The following is a 15,416-nucleotide window of genomic DNA, read 5'->3' as shown; positions in this document are numbered from 1 at the left end:
TACTGTTTCTAGTGAATTTATCTTCCCATTTATAGTGGGGGAAAACCGAGGTATCAAGGCATCAGAGGATTTGTCCACAGGCTTACAAGAGGGTACTAAAGTGTTGTGACAGTAGACCAGTTCTTGGATTCCAAGGGGAATGTGGGAGTCCGGAAGAAATCTTTGCGCTCTGCTCTCCATGCTGGGGGGTGCAGAACTCTAAGCAGGTCATTTTGTCTCCATGACATTCTCTTCTCTGAGGTAAGAATCAGTAACACCCATCTAATCTGGAGATGGTGAAATAAAGACAAAAATATTTTACTGTCCAAGAAGGATTTTTCCAGGACAACAGCAGAGGTAGTTGACAATGGTACATATTGTTACCCCACAAAGAGGGTCTCTGAAACCCACTGGGGAACATGGGGTGGAAATGGATGCAGAGCAAAAGAAGCTGCAAGCCTGAGTTTGACTAAAACCCTCAGTGCACAGGCCTGCATCACAAATACGTTTTAATACAGGTAATTTCTTTTCCATTCATTTGTAAGCACTTATTTCATTTACCCAATTCCAAGGCCAATAAATCTTGGCATTAAGGCTGATTTGATGTGTATGCTGACAGTCTAATTAAGGATAGGGTATTTTATCAGCTCCTCTAAATTTTCATTTCTCTGGTCTATGATTTTTTTATACTGGGTTGATCTTTTTTTTATTCATAAGGGCTTCATTCCCATTTGTCATGGCTGCATTAACTGGGCATCTAATGAAGACTTGGATATGAAAGTCTGCATCTCATTTATCCTCTGTAGCAAAATTAATAAAGCAGCAGGAAAACAGTTTCCTGTACTGGAACTTCTTTAGCCCATCCTGAGTCATATAAAATGTATTTTGCTTGTGTTTTCCAGAATTTGGGCTCAGCTCTAAACTTTAGGAGATGGTGTCCAACTTCAACTTCCATCCACTGACAGGCCTTACATACCCTGCTTCCTGCCCCACCTATTGCTTGGAGATCGAGTAATCAAGTGAAAATGAGGTCTTTCAGGTGGGACTCTTCTGCTTGAAGAGGCTTGAACTGGAATGGCTGGGAGCTGATTTTCCCACTCATCCCCTCTACCCACATTTATTGAGCTTCTTCTACAGGTCAAGCTCAGAGACATAAAAGACTCAAGAAGGTCACAGTCAAATTAAGTTATGACACCAATGTTGGCCAATGTCCAGTGAAAGAAAAATATCTTGGCCAAAGATCAAGGTTGGGAGCAAGCTGGAAAGATCATTTGCTCTATCCTTTTGCCTCGGGGAGGGTGACCCTCCCAGCCAGTGCTTGAATGAAGGGCTGCCAAAAGTCTGTGATATTTTTGACTTGCAGACTTTATGGGTATACGAACAGATATATCCACAAAGGTTTCCTAGGGCTGCCATAACAAACTGGGTGGCCTAACCAACATGAATTTATTGTCTCACAGTGCCAGAGGGTAGCAGTCCAAAATCAAGGTGTCAGTGAGGTTGCTTCCTTCTGAGGGCTGTTAGGGAAGGATCTGTTCCAGGCCTTGGCTATAGATGACTATCTGTTCTTTATGTCTCTTCACACCATCTTCCCTCTATGTACATCTGTGTCCAAATTTCCCCTTTTTATGAGGACACCAGCCATACTGGACTAAGGCCCACCCTAACAACCTCATTTTCACCTGATTACCTCTGTAAAGGTCCTATCTCCAAATATGGTCACATTCTGAGGTACTGGGGGTTAGAACTTTGACATATGAATTTTGGGGAGACATAATTCAACCCATAACAATGAGTATCTCTGAAGCTGGTTGAACTAAAGCTCTAAGACAGCCTCTTGTAGTACAGTATAGTTAGAACACCAGAAAGAAAGTTAAGAATCCGAAGTTAAAGGTCCAAATTAGTCCCTTCCCCTCTCTGAGCCTCAGATTTCTTCTCTGTACAATAAGAGATCTGGACTGGGCCTGCTAAATCCCCTCACAGTTCTCGGGTTGTGTGGTTGATGAAGTGATAGAAATTGAAGCAGTGTCGTGGGGAAGTTAATGGTCAGGCTCCACCACTTACAAGCACAGTGATCTTCAGCAAATATTTATCTTCTGAGCCTCAGGGTTTTGTGTTTTTGTTGTTGTTGTTGTTGTTTTTAACTGTAAAAGGGGGATAGTGATGTTAGCTACTTCAAAAATGCTGTGAGGACCGAGAGACCCTTTGAATTGCCTGGCACGCTGTTGTCACTCCATGTATATGAACTGCTGATGATATTACTACCAATCGCTATTAGGAGTTAGGCTTTGAATCTATGGCTCAGCTCTCAGATGGTGTCCACTATTAGAAGGCAGGGCTGTGTCCCCAACCTGTTCTGCATCTGGGTCCTGTGCTGCAGCATGAATGCAGTAAGATGCTTTTGCCAGCAAGACTCTAGTGATCCTTGTGACAGGCCTGTCCCCATTTCCACCTTATGCAAATTCTACCCTATTCCATTCTAGCCCAGCTCCTTCACATTCATATTAGGGTTAGGACTAGAGTTTCAGGTGACTTTTTTTCTTGCTGTATTTTATCATTTTTATGCTATAGAAAAGTCTAATAAAAAGAATAAAATATACTGATTTAACATAGCTTTATAAAGCAGGTCGGCAAATCTAGCCCTGCAATTACAGCGGGATAATTTAGGAATCAGAGAGACTGAGGGGTTGAGGAGGATATATGTTATTTATTATTTAGGTGCACCAAGCCAGTCAGATTAACATCCAAAGGACTGAGCCCCGAACAAAGAGTTAAGTTACCTTTAAAGCATTTCATGGGGCAGGGGGAGATCTGTGCGAAGGGAAGCATATTACAGAAGCGAGAAATAGTTATTCATTTGACACATGCATTACATTATTTCTTACTTTTCAAGGAAAAACATGTTTTATGGCTTGAGTTTATCTGCCTAGTGACCTTGCAGCTGCACAGCTAGAGAAACAGGGTCTTCACAATGCCTGGGAAAGGGAGAGATAAGGCTCACTAGCCACAGACAGAAAAACAAGCAGATAATTTTTAAAGGACTCCACCTCTTTCTCTTTCTCAGGGGGAATTGGTTTTTTTAAAACATAAACTGAGTTTTTGCTTATGCATTTTTAAATTTCTTTCAATTCCTGTTTCACAATCCCCCTCTCCCGTAAATGCCAGACCACTTGAGGTCTGTGCCAATCATTTGGCTCTTACCTTCACTGAACTATTAGTTATTCTCTCAGATGTGTCCTCACCTAGATTATAAGCAACTTGAGGAAACAAACAGGTCTTCTTACTCAAATTTAACAAAACTTACTTGTTGACTTCCACAATGCACCAGCCCCTCTTACATAAGGTATCTCATATAATCCTCCCCACAACCTGATGAGGCAGATAATGGTACCCCCACATCACAAATGAGCCCCCTGAGATTCAAAGTTCCCATGGATAGTCAGTGGCCAAGCCAGGATCCCAATTTACATCTGACTTCAAGGCCACCAACCTAGCATAATGCTGTCCTCACCCATGCTCCGCCAGCTCCACAAACCCGTGGATTCCTTTCCCTCACCCCAGAACCTTCTGAATAGGGTTTTCTGTGGCCTTGGTGCCCCCTGGTGGCACATGAGGGCTCATTCCACTGAAAGCCCGTGACCCTAAGCATTTGAGAGTGATTCACAGGCCAGTGTGGATAGCCCTGGGGTAGCAGAGCCCTCCGTACCCATAGGAAAGCTACCCTTTCTACCAGAGCTGTGCTTCTTAAACAGACCCTCAGGAGGATTCTACTTCTGATGAGTCAACAAAAGGAGTTAGGGTCCCCTGGGCCAGCAGCAGTGAGATGGCCTACAGGGTCTGTGTTTCCCTCTCTACTTATCCCCCACTTCCCATCAGGACATGTGGGCTTGGGTATTCTCTGCTGGACCCTCCTGGCATTTTAATTTTCCAAGAGCTCATTTATGAAAGAGGGAAGAAAGAAGAGGAGAAGGTGGTTAAAGTTCAGGACCTAAATTTCTTTACCTTAGAGTAAAGGTAACCATAGAGTTCCTTTCCCAAAAGACATCAAGACTCTTCAATAAATATTTGTTGAATTTTTGTCATGCTCTGTTGCACTAGGGATGCAGAGATGAAGACACTCTTCCTGTCAATGAAAAGTAAACGTAAGGGCTGGGTGCTGTAGCTTATGCCTGTAATCCCAGCATTTCGTGAGGCCAAGGAGAGCAAATTGCAGGAGTTCGAGACCAGCCTGGCAACATGGCAAAACCCCATCTCTACAAAAAATACAAAAAATTTAGCTACACATGGTAGTGTACACCTGTAGTCCCAGCTACTCAGGAGGATGAATCACGAGCTCAGGAGGCAGAGGTTGCAGTGAGCCAAGATTGTGCCACTGCACTCCAGCCTGGGTGATAGAGTAAAACCCTGCCTCAAAAAGAAAAGAAAAAAAAAAGAATAAGAATTAAAAAGAGAAAAGAATGAACTTTTTCAAAAGTAAACATAAAAAATTACAATATAATGAAACAAATGCTCTAATACGGATGTCATGGAACTTTTCCTGTCACCCCAGAAATGGTTGCCAGCACTCAAAACTAAGAACAAAGAATTGTTAAATACCCCACAAGCTAAAGAAAGTAGAAAACAAGGGTCAGATACTTTCCCCAACCATCACTCCAGCCCCTAGCACTTGCCCAATTTATATATACTATTCCTCTCCCATTGCCTACTTGCACAGGGGCAAGACAGCAGCAGGGCAGAGAAAGCGGGGGTGGTAAGGAGTAGCCTGCTCTCTCACCTCCCATGTGGCAAGGACATGTGAGCCAGCTATCATCCTCTTCCTACTTGATTTCCCTTCAAAGGCCTTCCTTATAGCTTAAAAAGCAATCGCCAGTCTTTCGGAGAATCCTTTTTTTTTTTTGAGACAGGGTCTCATTCTGTCACCCAGGCTGGAGTGCAGTTGTGCAATCTCAGCTCACTGCAGCCTCAACCTCCCGGGCTCAAGTGATCCTCCCACCTCACACAAAGTACTTGAGACCACAGGTGCGCATCACCATGCCCAGCTAATTTTTGTGCTTTGGTAGAGACAGGGTCTCCCCACGTTGGCTAGGCTGGTCTCAAACTCCTGGGCTCAAGCCATCCGCCCACCTAGGCCTCCCAAAGTGCGGGGATTACAGGCGTAAACCACCATACCAGGCCTGAAAACTACCATGCCTGGCCTGAGAATCCTTTAATCACTGATCTAGCTTTGAGATAATTTGAGATATCCTTGGGCTACACTGGCCAATACTGTGGCCACTAGCCACAGGTGGCTGCTGAGCACTTGAAATGCGGCTGGTCTGAATTGAAATGTGCTGCTAACTGAAAAATATACCCTGGATTTTGAAGACAGTACTGGAGAAAAAATATAAAATATCTCATTAGTATTTTATCAATCACAAGTTGAAATAATATTTTGAATATATTGTTTGAATAAATAAAATGTTATTAAAATTAGTTTCATCTGTTTTACTTTTTTTTGAGACAGTCTCACACTGTAGCACAGCCTGGAGTGCTGTGGCTCAATCTCGGCTCACTGCAACCTCCAGCTCCCGAGTTCAAACGATCCTCCTGCCTCAGCCTCCTGAGTAGCTGGGACTACAGGCACGCACCATCACACCCAGCTAATTTTTGTATTTTTAGTAGAGATGGGGTTTCGCCATGTTGGCCAGGCTGGTCTCAAACTCCTGACCTCAACTGATCCACCCATCTCGGCCTCCCAAAGTGCTAGGATTACAGGCGTGAGCCACTGCACCCTGCCCTGTTTTACTTTTTTTTTTTTTTTTTTTTTTTTTTTGAGACAGAGTCTCGCTCTGTCGCCCAGGCTGGAGTGCAGTGGCGCGATCTCGGCTCACTGCAAGCTCCGCCTCCCAGGCTCACACCATTCTCCTGCCTCAGCCTCCTGAGTAGCTGGGACCACAGGCGCCCACCACCACACCCGGAGAATTTTTTGTATTTTTAGTGGAGACAGGGTTTCACCGTGTTAGCCAGGATGGTCTCAATCTCCTGACCTCGTGATCCACCCGCCTCGGCCTCCCAAAGTGCTGGGATTACAGGCGTGAGCCACCGCGCCCGGCTGTTTTACTTTTTTTAATGTGGCCACTAGACTATATTGCCCAGGCTGGACTTGAACTCCTGGGCTCAAGGGATCCTCCTGCCTCAGCCTCCTGAGTAGCTGGGATTATAGGCACGTGCCATTTCACCAGGCAGTACTTATGTTTTCTAATGCTAAGTTTTAAACTGCTTTTTCTAAAACTTATATGGCCTGTACTGTGTTACCCCTAACTTAACATGAATAATTTCTCTAGAGCAGGAGTCCAAGACCCCTGAATTATAACATTCAAACTGGAATTTTGGCTGGGTGCAATGGCTCATGCCTATAATCCCAGCACTTTGGGAGGCTGAGGTGGGCGGATCGCTTGAGGTCAGGAGTTTGAGACCAGCCTGGCCAACATGGTGAAACCCCATCTCTACTAAAAGCACAAAAATTAGCCACGTGTGGTGGTGCATGCCTGTAATCCCAGCTACTCGGGAGGCTGAGGCAGAAGAATCGCTTGAACCAGGAGGCAGAGGTTGCAGTGAGCTGAGACGGCGCCACTGCACTCCAGCCTGGGCGATAGAGCAAGACTCTGTCTCAAAAAAATAAAGAAATAAACAAACTGGAATTTCAAGGAAGCTGCAAGCTTCACTATGACAGCTGCGGAATAAAAAGGGACTCTGAATGCCAGTGCAGTGTATTGGACTTTGGTTCAATACCAAAGTCTGGTATCTTCCGATCTGGGAGCTGGGCCCCAGATTGGAAGGTAGGCTGTGAGTAAAAAGCTGGAGGTGACAGAGTTGGAAGAAACTTAGTGCAAGGAATGATCCACAGAGGGGGTGAGGCTTACCAATTTGAGTAAATTAGCACCACTTTTTCGGGAGGCAATTTGTAAGTATGTATCAAGAGTCTTAAAAAATGATCATGTCCTTTAACCCAGTCATTCCATTTCTAGTAACTTATAAGGAAATTTTAAAACTGCACAGATATTTAGCTATGAGGATATTCAACCAGCATTGTAATAGCTAAAACAAAAAACAAACAAAAGCAAAAAAAAAAAAAAAAGTCCAAGTACAGTGGCTCACCTGCAATCTCAGCGCTTTGGGAAGCCAACGAGGGAGGGTCACTTGAGACTGGGCTACACACTGAGACTCCATCTCTACAATTTTTTTTTTAATTAGCTAGGTGGGGTGGCGGGTCCCTGTAGTCCCAGCTTCTTGGGAGGCTGAGGTGGGAAGATCGCTTGAACCTAGAAGGCTGAGGCTGGACTAAGCCATGATAGTGCCACTGCACTCCAACCTTAATCCACAATTAAGATACAGCTATAAAATGGAATATTTTGCAACTACTACAAAGGATGTAAGTGAAAACTTGACATGGAAAGACATTTATTCTAAACTCTGTAAAGAAGGCCAGCTACAGAATTGTACCTCCAGTATGTATGTCAATTTTGCTTACAAAACAAACAAAACAAAAAAAACCATGCTAGGCGTGGTGACTCAGCCTGTAATCACATTTTGGGAGGCTGGAGTGGGAGGATCTGTTGAAGCAAGGAGTTTAAGACCAGCCTGGACAACACAGCGAGACCCCCATCTCTACAAAAAAACGTAAAAATTAGCCAGACATGATGGCTCGAGGCTGTGGTCCTAGCCAGTCGAGAGGCTGAGAGGTGAGGATAGCTTGAACCCAGGACGTCCGGGTTGCAATGAGCTATAATCGTTCTACTGCACTACAGCCTGGGTAACAGAGCAAGACCCTGTCCCCCAAAAAATTTATTTTAAAAAGGCAAACGAAAAAACATTAAAAGTATACATTTACAAAGACAACTATCTGAAAGGATATTCTCCAAGAAGTTAAAAGTCGTCTTTGGACAGTGGGGCCATAGATGTTTTCCTATTTTTACCAGCTTTATAATTAATTTTTAAAAGTTATTTTCAAGTAGTCCTACCCAGTCTTCCTTACGAGTTAGGACTCAAATGCCACTCTCTTCCCCTAAACTGTCCTGAGTCCCCTCACCATAATAAGCACCAATGTCTTCGTTAAAATCCCGACACTGCCAACACTCAGCTAGGGGGTTGAACCTTGCTCCATCTCGTCCTTTAGTCTCTGTGTGCGTCTTTCCCCCTACAAGCCTACTGACCCCCTCCAAGAGGTCCCGTGTCTTCCCCGTACTTGCCCCACAGGCTAGATCAGACCCTGTCTGACCCCTGGGTTATTGTAAAACTTAAGATCTGTCCCCTAGGTCTCGGAGTCGGTTGAACTAGGGTCCAAAGGTTAAAAAACACTGACACAAAATGCCAGGCCACGAACTGAAGCACTGAGGCCCGGCTGCAGACCTCTCCCGAGAGGGGAATAATCCGTGCCGGCCGGTTCCGCCATGGAGCCAGGTGCAGGTCACCTCGACGGTCACCGCGCGGGGAGCCCAAGCCTTCGTCAGGCTCTGTGCGACGGAAGCGCAGTGATGTTTTCCAGTAAAGAACGCGGACGTTGCACCGTGATCAATTTTGTCCCTTTGGAGGCGCCGTTACGGTCCACGCCCCGCTCGCGTCAAGTGACTGAGGCCTGTGGTGGAGAAGGACGTGCCGTGCCGCTGGGTTCTGAGCCGGAGTGGTCGGTGGGTGGGATGGAGGCGACCTTGGAGCAGCACTTGGAAGACACGTGAGTAGTGCGCGCCTCTTCGGCCTGTCCTGAGGTCGCGGCGGAGGAACTTGAGCGGAACGAAAGGCGCGAGCTGCGAGTACCGGCCAGGGCGTCTCGGGGACGTCGCGCGACCCCCGGGACACGGGATGAGGGGGCTAAACTCTACCCAAGGCCGCAGGGCGGGGCGGGTGACCCGGAATTAAAATCCTGCCGGGCACCGCACATTCCCTCTTGAGCGAGTCTCCCGGGCCCAGGCCACGGGCCAAAACTGCCTATCTCGTTGTTGAAATCGTCTTTACGGTCAGGGTGGTTCTGCGGAAGTTTTAGAAAACGGGTTGACTTTTGGGAAGATTGTGCCAGTTGTGCAGTGTCGAGCCCTGCAGTGTAAACAAACACGTATCTCCTGTGTGTAACCTATCAGTTACTTGGTGCTTAAGTAGATAAAAATCATTCTTTAAATTTTTCGAACAAGCAGTATCTATGTAAAATTCAAAACTGGAAAAGTGTAAAGGGTACAGAGAGACACCTGCCTCCCACCGATGTCCCTCAGCTTCCACTTACCCTCCAGGAGGTAACTTGAGTTTTTCAACAGTTGTTTTAAATGAGTTAGTACTAAAACATGCGTTTTTAACAAGAGTGAAAACATCCTAGATGTTTTTCACGCAGTGTTTGTGGCCCTCCAGAACTCAGCAGTACTTAGCACATTTTTTTCTCTCATCAGAGAGAAACTGGTTTATTTCAATTAATTAACTAGAACTTAAATTTTTTGTGTTCTTTTTTTGAGACGGAATTTCGCTCGTCTTCCAGGCTGGAGTGCAATGGCGTGATCTCGGCTCACTGCAACCTCCGCCTCCCAGGTTCAAGCGATTCTCTTGCCTCAGCCTCCCGAGTAGCTGGGATTACAGTCATGCGCCACCACGCCTGGCTAATTTTGTATTTTTAGTAGAGACGGGGTTTCTCCATGTTGGTCAGGCTGGTCTTGAACTCCCGACCTCAGGTGATCCGCCCACCTGGGCCTCCCAAAGTGCTGGGATTACAGGCGTGAGCAACCGCGCCCGGCCCTAGAACTTAATTTTTTTCTTAGGGTGTGACAATGAAAAAAGATTGAGAAATATTGATTTAAAGCACTTAATGCCTGGTACATAGAACACCTGTATGTTTGTACTTATTTAAATCCTTTTTCTCCCATTATGTACTTCAACTCTCTTGTGTTCCTGGAATTAGAATGAAGAATCCCTCCATTGTTGGAGTCCTGTGCACAGATTCACAAGGACTTAATCTGGGTTGTAAGTATCTCTCATACCAACTATTTGATGAATTGCATAGCATCTGATGTTGACTTGGAGCCTAGCGTGCTATTATTTTCTAGCTTTTATTTCCTGTTACCTTGCCAGGTCTTTCTGAGTTTGAGAGTAGAGATTATCTCCAAATAACAGTATCAGAAAATTGAAACTTTTCAGTTGGTATTTATGAAGGAAGATGTTCCTTGCAGTCCTATAACAATAAATAGTTGTCTCTACTAAAAATAATATTTGAATCATTTTAAATTGAGTCTAGAAAGGACTTCAGATAATAACAGCTGTTAACCATTTATTGAATGTATGCCATATGCTGAGACTGCTAGGCTCTAAATACATTATCTTTAATTTTCACAACAACCCGGCAAGGTGGGTGGTGTACAATTTTGAAGCTCAACTACACTAAACAAGAAGTGAATAGGCAGTAAAATGGGATTTCAGTGTTGGACATACCTGGTCTCAATCCCTTGCTCTTTCATTTGTTAGTAGTGTGAACGTGGACCAAAAAACTACCTTTTAGGCCCTCATTTTCTTCACTGGGTTGTTATTTGATAATGGTAATAATCATAGAATTATATTTATTGAGCTGTTATGTGCCAAGCACCATTGTAAGTGCTTTACATATACTCTTTTATTCCTCATAACAACCCAGTGAGGTAGAAAAAGAAATTGAGGGACCAGGTGCAGTGTCTCACGCCTGTAATCCCAGCACTTTGGGAGACCAAGGTGGGCAGATCACTTGAGCCCAGGAGTTCAAGACCAGCCTGTGCAACACAGTGAGACCCCCCATCTCTATTTTTACAATAAACATATATATATGTTTTTAAAATTTAAAAAAAGAGGCCGGATGCGGTGGCTCACACCTGTGATCCCAGCACTTTGGGAGGCGGAGGCGGGTGGATCACCTGAGGTCAGGAGTTCGAGACTAGCCTGGCCAACATGGTGAAACCACATCTCTACTAAAAATGCAAAAAAAAATTAGCCAGGCATGGTAGCAGGTGCTAGTAATCCCAGCTACTCGGGAGGCTGAGGCAGGAGAATCGCTTGAACCTGGGAGGCAGAGGTTGCAGTAAGCCGAGATTGCACCATTGCACTCCAGCCTGGATGACAAGAGCGAGACTCTGTCTCAAAAAATAAAAAAAGAAACTGAGACACAGAGGTTAAATAACTTGCCTGAGGTCATGCAGCTAGTAAGTCGTTAAGCTAGGATTTTTGTCTGGCCCTGAGGCCTCTTAATCACTTTTTTTTTTTTTTTTTTGAGACGAAATCTTGCTCTGTCGCCCAGGCTAGAGTGCAGTGGCACGATCTTGGCTCACTGCAACCTCCATTTCCCAGGTTCAGGCAATTCTCCTGCCTCAGCCTCCTGAGTAGCTGGGATTACAGGCGCCTGCCACCACGCCCAGATAATTTTTGTATTTTTAGTAGATACAGGGTTTCACTATGTTGGCCAGGCTGGTCTCGAACTCCTTATCTCAGGTGATCCACCCACCTCCGCCTCCCAAAGTGCGGGATTACAGGAATGAGCCACTACACCCGGCCTAATCACGATATTTTAAGGTTATATAATATGTATAAAATGCTTACATAGAACTGAGACATAATACTTAATAAATGGTAGCAATTACACATGAGGAAATAAGTTTGGAAAGGTAAATAAGTAAAGCATTCAGTTAATTAGTGACAACTAGTAAACCCAAGACTTGTTGCTCCTAATGCAGGAATGTTTAAAGCTCTGAATTTTTGCTGGAAGGGTAACTGAAAGAGGTAATCGGTGTAACTCAGTTATGTTTAACATGCAGATCAGTCATTTGGGAGAAAAAGGGTAAATTTTTGGAAGCATTTGCTAGGCTTACTAATGGAAAGACTGAAATTCAGGTATGGAAATCTAAAACTAAATGAGTTCCTTCAAGAAACCTTCAAGGCTCAAACGTCGGCATCGGATCTGGTCAAAATGTTTTGTATAGTAATAGTACATCCAAATGCTCTGCCATAGTGGCATGTCTATTACCTGATTTGGTTTCAGGTACAGTTAACTTTGTGTTGCCTTTATATACAGAAATATATTGTAAAGTACACTTAGTAATTAATTTTCGTACCTAGAATTTATAGGTACTTTTGTACCCGAGATTTAGTTACTATAATATATACAGACTAATACAGACATTAATAAAAAGACAATTCTGTAGACATTTTAAAACAGCCAGCTAGCTTATTTTAGCAGAAATACTCTATGAGCAATCAGGTGACATATATCATCTCTATTTTCCAGGCCGCGGGACCCTGTCAGATGAGCATGCTGGAGTGATATCTGTTCTAGCCCAGCAAGCAGCTAAGCTAACCTCTGACCCCACTGATATTCCTGTGGTGTGTCTAGAATCAGATAATGGGTGAGTAGATTTCAGCAGATCCTTTCCTTTTTGTTCAGAAAAATTCCTGGTAAAATTGGCGGGGGCCGGCCCTGTGTTCATCAGTGATTCCTTATTCAGACTACTTTGGGAAAAGTTCTTAATCTTTTGAATCACAGGAACAGACAAGTTGATCCCTAAAGCTAATGTGCTCTCAGGCCACAATGCTATTTAAATGAAGAATAAGAATTGGCAGAAGCTATCAGTTTACCAACAAAAAGAAAGTAACAAATAGCACAAAGGAAAACTAATCAGAGAATAAAAATTACTTTTTTTTTTTTTCTTTTTGAGGCAGGGTGTTGCTCTGGCACCAGGCTGGAGTACAGTGGTGTGATCATGGGTCACTGTGACTTCAACCCCACCGGGCTCAAGCGATTCACCCAACTCAGCCTCCCGAGTTGTAGCTGAGACTACAGGTGTACACTACCACACCCAGCTAATTTTTGTATTTTTTTGTAGAGATGAGGTTTCACCATGTTTCCCAGGCTGGTCTCGAACTCCTGGGCTCCAGTAATTTGCCCGCCTCAGCCTCCCAAAGTGCTGGGATTACAGGAATGAGTCACTGCACCCAGCCAAAAATTACTTCTAAAGCAATAAAATTACTAAAGATATTCCAAGTGATGGTCCTCAGAATAATATGTGAAAAAAAGTATATATATACAACTGCTACTATCACAGCCTTGTAAAAAGAAAAAACATACAGTCATGCATTGCTTAACAATGGGGATATGTTCTGAGAAATGTGTCAGGCAGTTTTGTTGTATGAACATCATAGAGTGTACTTAAACCTAGGTGGTACACCCTATTACACACCTAGGCTGTATTGCTCTTAGACTACAAAGATTTGTAGCCTAAATAATGTAGGCAGTTATAACAGTGGTATTTATGTATCTAAACGTAGAGAAGATACAGTAAAAGTATGGTATAGGGAAATTTTTTAAAAGGTATATCTGAATAGGGCACTTACCATAATGGAGCTTACAACACTGGAAGTTGCTCTGAGTGAGTCAATAAAACTTTTTGACTTTATAATAACACTTAAAACAGTTGTACAGCTGTACAAAAATTCTTTTTTTAAACTTTTTTACTTTTTAGACTTTTTTGTTAAAAGCAAAGAAGAAACACACATTAGCCTAGGCCTGCACAGGGTCAGGATCATCAATATCACTGGCTTCTATCTCCACATCTTCTCCCACTGGAAGGTCATCCAGGGCAGTAACATGCATGGAGTTGTCATCTCCTGTAATGATGATACCTTCTGGAATACCTCCTAAAGGACCTGTCTGAGGCTGTTTTATAGTTAACCTTGTCTTAATAAGTAGGAGTAGTATACTCTAAAATAATGATAAAAAGTAGGCCCGGCATGGTGGCTCACACTTGTAATCCCAGCACTTTGGGAGGCCAAGGCGGGCAGATCACTTGAGGTAAGGAGTGTGAGACAGCCTAACCAACATGGTGAAACCCTGTCTCTACTAAAAATACAAAAATTAGGCATGGTGGCAGGCACCTGTAATCCTAGCTACTCAGGAGGCTGAGGCAGGAGAATTGCTTGAACCCGGGAGGCAGAGGTTGCAGTGAGCTGAGATCACGCCACTGCCCTCCAGCCTGGGCAACAGAGCAAGACTCCGTCTCAAAAAAAAGAAAAAAAGTATAGTAAATACATAAACCATAGCATAGTCATTTATTATTATCAAGCGTTACGTACTGTACATAATTGTATGTGCTATACTTTTTATGACTGGCAGCACAATTTGTTTACACCAGCATTACCACAAACATGTGAGTAGTGTGTTGTGCTATGTGATGCTGGGACGGTTAAAAGGTCACTAGGCAATAGGAATTTTTCAGTTCCATTATAATCTTACGGGACCACCATCATATGTAGGGTCCACTGTTGACTGAAGCATTGTTATGCAGCACATGACTGTATCATATACATGCAAAGAAAACAAAGACCAGTAAAGCCTTTTTTTTGTAGTTCCAGCTACTGAGGTGGCTGAAGCAGGATTGCTTGAGCCCAGGAGTTTGAGGCCAGCTTGGGCAACATAGCAAGACAGTGCCTAAAAAACCGAAACAAAGAACCAGGGAAATATTAACAGTGGTTGTCTGTGTGTAGTAGGATTAAGGATTCATTTCGTGTTCACATGCTATATGTTTATGTATTTCCCAAATGTTTTGTTATGTTTAAATATTGCTTTTATACGTAGAAACAATTACATTATTTTAAATATTGTATCCTAAAGCAAACAACATCTTTAATCTTGCAGTGAAGTCCCACTGATTACGTTTTACTGAATATTTTCTTCCTGCATTTCAGGAACATTATGATCCAGAAACACGATGGCATCACGGTGGCAGTGCACAAAATGGCCTCTTGATGCTCATATCTGTTCTTCAGCAGCCTGTCATAGGAACTGGATCCTACCTATGTTAATTACCTTATAGAACTACTAAAGTTCCAGTAGTTAGGCCATTCATTTAATGTGCATTAGGCACTTTTCTGTTTATTTAAGAGTCAATTGCTTTCTAATGCTCTATGGACCGACTATCAAGATATTAGTAAGAAAGGATCATGTTTTGAAGCAGCAGGTCCAGGTCACTTTGTATATAGAATTTTGCTGTATTCAATAAATCTGTTTGGAGGAAAATGGATCTTTTCTAGATTCTTTAAACTTAACCAAATGTTCCTTTTGTTCAGTTATCAAACTGTAATTTTTTTAAAAGGTCTTTGTTCTAAATTACTTTTGTTTAAGAAGCTTCCTGAAATACCTACATTCTCACAGGTATGTCCATGGATCCCACCCCTGTGCAGTCAGAAATCTACATGTAACTTTTGACCCCTCAGTAGCCTACTGACTTAAACAGTAACACGAGTTTTCTATGTTTTACGTTTTCGTTTTTTGTTTTGTTTTGTTTTGTTTTTTTCAGTAGACAGAGTCCTGCTCTGTCGCCAGGCTGGAGTGCAGTGGTGCGATCTCAGCTCACTGCAAGCTCCGCCTCCTGGGTTCAAGCGATTCTCCTGCCTCAGCCTCCAGAGTAGCT

The 15,416-nt window shown here is 43.5% G+C and overlaps 1 protein-coding gene and 1 long non-coding RNA gene across 3 annotated transcripts, besides 1 other annotated feature; one reads left to right on the top strand and one right to left on the bottom strand.

Moving 5' to 3' along the window:
* On the bottom strand, positions 1-8,466 carry LAMTOR5-AS1 (LAMTOR5 and SLC16A4 antisense RNA 1). Its single transcript, NR_102697.1, has 3 exons — positions 8,321-8,466; positions 3,982-4,102; positions 1-266 (listed from the first exon to the last, which is right to left on the bottom strand). It is a non-coding gene; the product is annotated as an LAMTOR5 and SLC16A4 antisense RNA 1 (long non-coding RNA).
* Positions 8,351-15,022, top strand: LAMTOR5 (late endosomal/lysosomal adaptor, MAPK and MTOR activator 5). 2 transcript variants are annotated; one of them, NM_006402.3, is made up of 4 exons: positions 8,351-8,689; positions 9,896-9,957; positions 12,239-12,356; positions 14,692-15,022. In NM_006402.3, exons 1-4 carry the CDS (start codon positions 8,409-8,411, stop codon positions 14,750-14,752), a joined length of 522 nt encoding a protein of 173 aa, NP_006393.2. In that variant the 5' UTR covers positions 8,351-8,408; the 3' UTR covers positions 14,753-15,022. The 2 variants fall into 2 exon arrangements, with proteins under 2 accessions (NP_006393.2, NP_001369222.1); NM_001382293.1 differs by having other exon boundaries at positions 8,581-8,689.
* Positions 8,410-8,639: an enhancer, noted in NCBI's record as "active region_1471". NCBI's record gives its function as "activates an Ori minimal core promoter by ATAC-STARR-seq in GM12878 lymphoblastoid cells {active_cell/tissue: GM12878}" and the evidence as "EXISTENCE:reporter gene assay evidence [ECO:0000049][PMID:35858748]".
* Positions 15,023-15,416: the final 394 nt, after the last annotated feature.

Source organism: Homo sapiens, chromosome 1 (genome assembly GCF_000001405.40).
Source record: "Homo sapiens chromosome 1, GRCh38.p14 Primary Assembly".
In the NCBI taxonomy this organism is placed as follows: domain Eukaryota; kingdom Metazoa; phylum Chordata; class Mammalia; order Primates; family Hominidae; genus Homo; species Homo sapiens.
Note: the sequence above shows the minus strand (reverse complement) of the source record. Positions and strands in the feature narration are given on the sequence as shown.

What these genes read in the sequence shown, in the direction of transcription:
- LAMTOR5 (NM_006402.3), top strand. Translation starts at nt 8,409, where the DNA reads ATGGAGCCAGGTGCAGGTCACCTCGACGGTCACCGCGCGGGGAGCCCA. An exon ending in GAGCAGCACTTGGAAGACAC is followed by an intron (nt 8,690 to 9,895) that starts GTGAGTAGTGCG and finishes TCCTGGAATTAG; the next exon opens with AATGAAGAATCCCTCCATTG. An exon ending in TGTCTAGAATCAGATAATGG is followed by an intron (nt 12,357 to 14,691) that starts GTGAGTAGATTT and finishes CCTGCATTTCAG; the next exon opens with GAACATTATGATCCAGAAAC.